This window comes from Homo sapiens, chromosome 8 (assembly GCF_000001405.40).
Source record: "Homo sapiens chromosome 8, GRCh38.p14 Primary Assembly".
In the NCBI taxonomy this organism is placed as follows: domain Eukaryota; kingdom Metazoa; phylum Chordata; class Mammalia; order Primates; family Hominidae; genus Homo; species Homo sapiens.
In genome coordinates this window covers 100,868,441-100,870,818 of record NC_000008.11, presented here as the reverse complement: position 1 = coordinate 100,870,818, position 2,378 = coordinate 100,868,441, and the positions used below count along the sequence as shown (strand labels likewise).

The following is a 2,378-nucleotide window of genomic DNA, read 5'->3' as shown; positions in this document are numbered from 1 at the left end:
GGCCTTAACTTGTGAAGTGGCTTACATGTCCGATAGCAGGTCTAGTGAAGGTGGATATTCCAAAGAGATTGAGTGCTTCCAGGTCTTCAAATACTGTCCCCTAGGACACTGCCATCTCCAGTTACACAGAGCCAGCCAGTGGGCCACCTTCCAGCAGAGGCTGTATCAGCCAAGACAAGGGTGCTGTGATTTCTTTGGGGCCACCTGGTGAAATCTACACCAGCTGAACTGAGAGCAGAGGTGTGGCGGGGAAGGAGGTGCTCCCCTCCAACCTTCTGCCAGCCTCCAGCTGTGTGCCTTTGTCCCACCATGCACGTTCACACCGAGATGATGCTCCCCCAGGGCTGCTCCCAGCCACAACTGACAGGACAGAGACTGCGAGCTGGGTGTTTCTGTTCGAGGTGGGCAGCCTTTGCCTGGGGATTCCTAGTTGTCTGCGGAGGCTCCCTCAGAATGGCCCTGAATTCTGAGATTCTTCCTGTCCTATACTCCCCTTCCTAATCACCATTCACAGATGTCAGATCTGCACTGCGGCCAGAAGCCTCTCCCTGCCTCCTCCCAATTCCTCCCCTGCATCCTTGATGGGCACTTCCCTCCATATGTCTCTGGAACATCTAATCCCATTTTGGTATCTGCTTCGCAGAAGACTTAAACTGGCACGGAGGGGTTGAAAACAACTCTGATGGCCCCCTGTGGCCATAGTCTCCTGGTTCTGATTCAGGCCCTGTAACAGCTTGCAACATATACAATTTTAATAGGGGCATCATCGATTAGGAAACACCCTGTCTCCTCCTTCTTTAATGCAGTCTGGAGCAAGCTTGACTATAGGAATAGATATTGCTCTCCCAGATCAGAGCTGAGGGAGGCGGCCCACGGCCCTTGGTAGAGAAGTGTCATGGAAATCACAGAAACACATATTCTGGGAAGTCCCCCCTTTTCTAGAATCCACAGTGAACATATGCATCATTGTCTTCAAAGCCAGCTCATCCTTCAAGGAATGAGGAACTTGGCAGAGAGAATTGGAAATTACGACAAACTTGCCAAGTCGAACTAATCAATAATAGGATGCAAGAGGAAGTCAGGGAGGAGGAAGTAGCAATGCACTTAGAAGGAAAATGTGCCCAGTGGACAAGCTCCAGGACCCATTCCCGCTCATCATGTGAAAGTATTCATAAGTACCTAAGTGCAGAAAGTACTGCTCAGGGTGTTTGTCCAGAGCAAGTGAGAGACAAGACCACAGGACTTCACAGCAAGGGGCCTGGGAGCACATCTTCTAGTCCAATGGGTTTCAAATAGTTCCCCTCGAGTAACAGCAGGGATTTCCTGGAAGGAGAAGCAGGAGTCCCTAAGATGGGTCTCATTGCCCTCCCACCCTTCAACCAAGAAACACCTGCACCATGAAGGTTCTGTCTCTCAAACCCAAATCTGGAAACCACTGACCTAGTCTCATTCTTTCCTTTTATCCACAGAAAAACAGAAGTCTAGAGAGGTGGTGTGACTGGCTTTGAAGTGACACCACGAGTTAACCGCAAAGGTGGAAGGATTAGAGCCCTTGGCCCTAGTCCTGTTCTCTTTCAACCTCACAATCATGCCACCCCCTCAAGGACTTGGCTTCCCCAAAGTCACACAGCAGGAAAATGGCAGACTTGGACTTTGAACCCAAACCTTTGGACTCCTCCACATCCTTTGCTATTTCTGGTTTCCATTGCTTTGTTTTCTCTGTAGTGCCAAACACAGGACTGGGCAGATAGATGACAAATACTTTGGGAAATGCAATAAACTGACCGCAGTTCAAATAAATTGCAAGCACTGCAACATTGTTCTTCACTAAGTGCACATTGATCCAGCCAGGGAGCTTTTAAAAAGGAAATATTCATCCCCAGGCTCCAATGCACCACTTATACCAGAATCTCAGGGCAGGGCCTGGGCATCAGTATTTTTTAAAGTTCCCCAGGTGATTCTAGGGTGTAGCCAGGACTATGAATCATTGAATAGGACTGTTTAACACACCTGGCCCATCCCTACGTTGGCATTCTCCAAAAGAGAGTTTGAATGACACACCATCTGTGTAATCCACAGGCCCTTCTGTGCTCGCCTCAGCAGCAGGCAGGTCTCTCCCTCCCTCTCTCTCCCTCTGCCATATTGCCTCTTGATTTGGTCTTTATACTCATGGTGGTGACTAATTAATCCTCCTAGAACAATCAAAGAAGACCTAATTGTGGGTGAGCCATCTGGAGCTCCTCCTTGGTTGACTTGGACTTTAGGGAGGATGAGGAGAAGAAAGTGGGAAATGACTCACACTCCAGATGAAACACAAAATTGTATCTGTTCACAGACGGTTGTGGTGCTTGCGGCTGTAACTTTTCCTCCTGCTTCTC

At 48.9% G+C, this 2,378-nt stretch overlaps 1 annotated feature.

The window, feature by feature from the left end:
* Window positions 935-2,134: an enhancer, noted in NCBI's record as "CDK7 strongly-dependent group 2 enhancer chr8:101880913-101882112 (GRCh37/hg19 assembly coordinates)". NCBI's record gives its function as "activates an origin of replication core promoter dependent on BRD2, BRD4, P300/CBP, MED14 and CDK7 cofactors, with strong dependence on CDK7, by STARR-seq in HCT116 cells {active_cell/tissue: HCT116}" and the evidence as "EXISTENCE:reporter gene assay evidence [ECO:0000049][PMID:35650434]".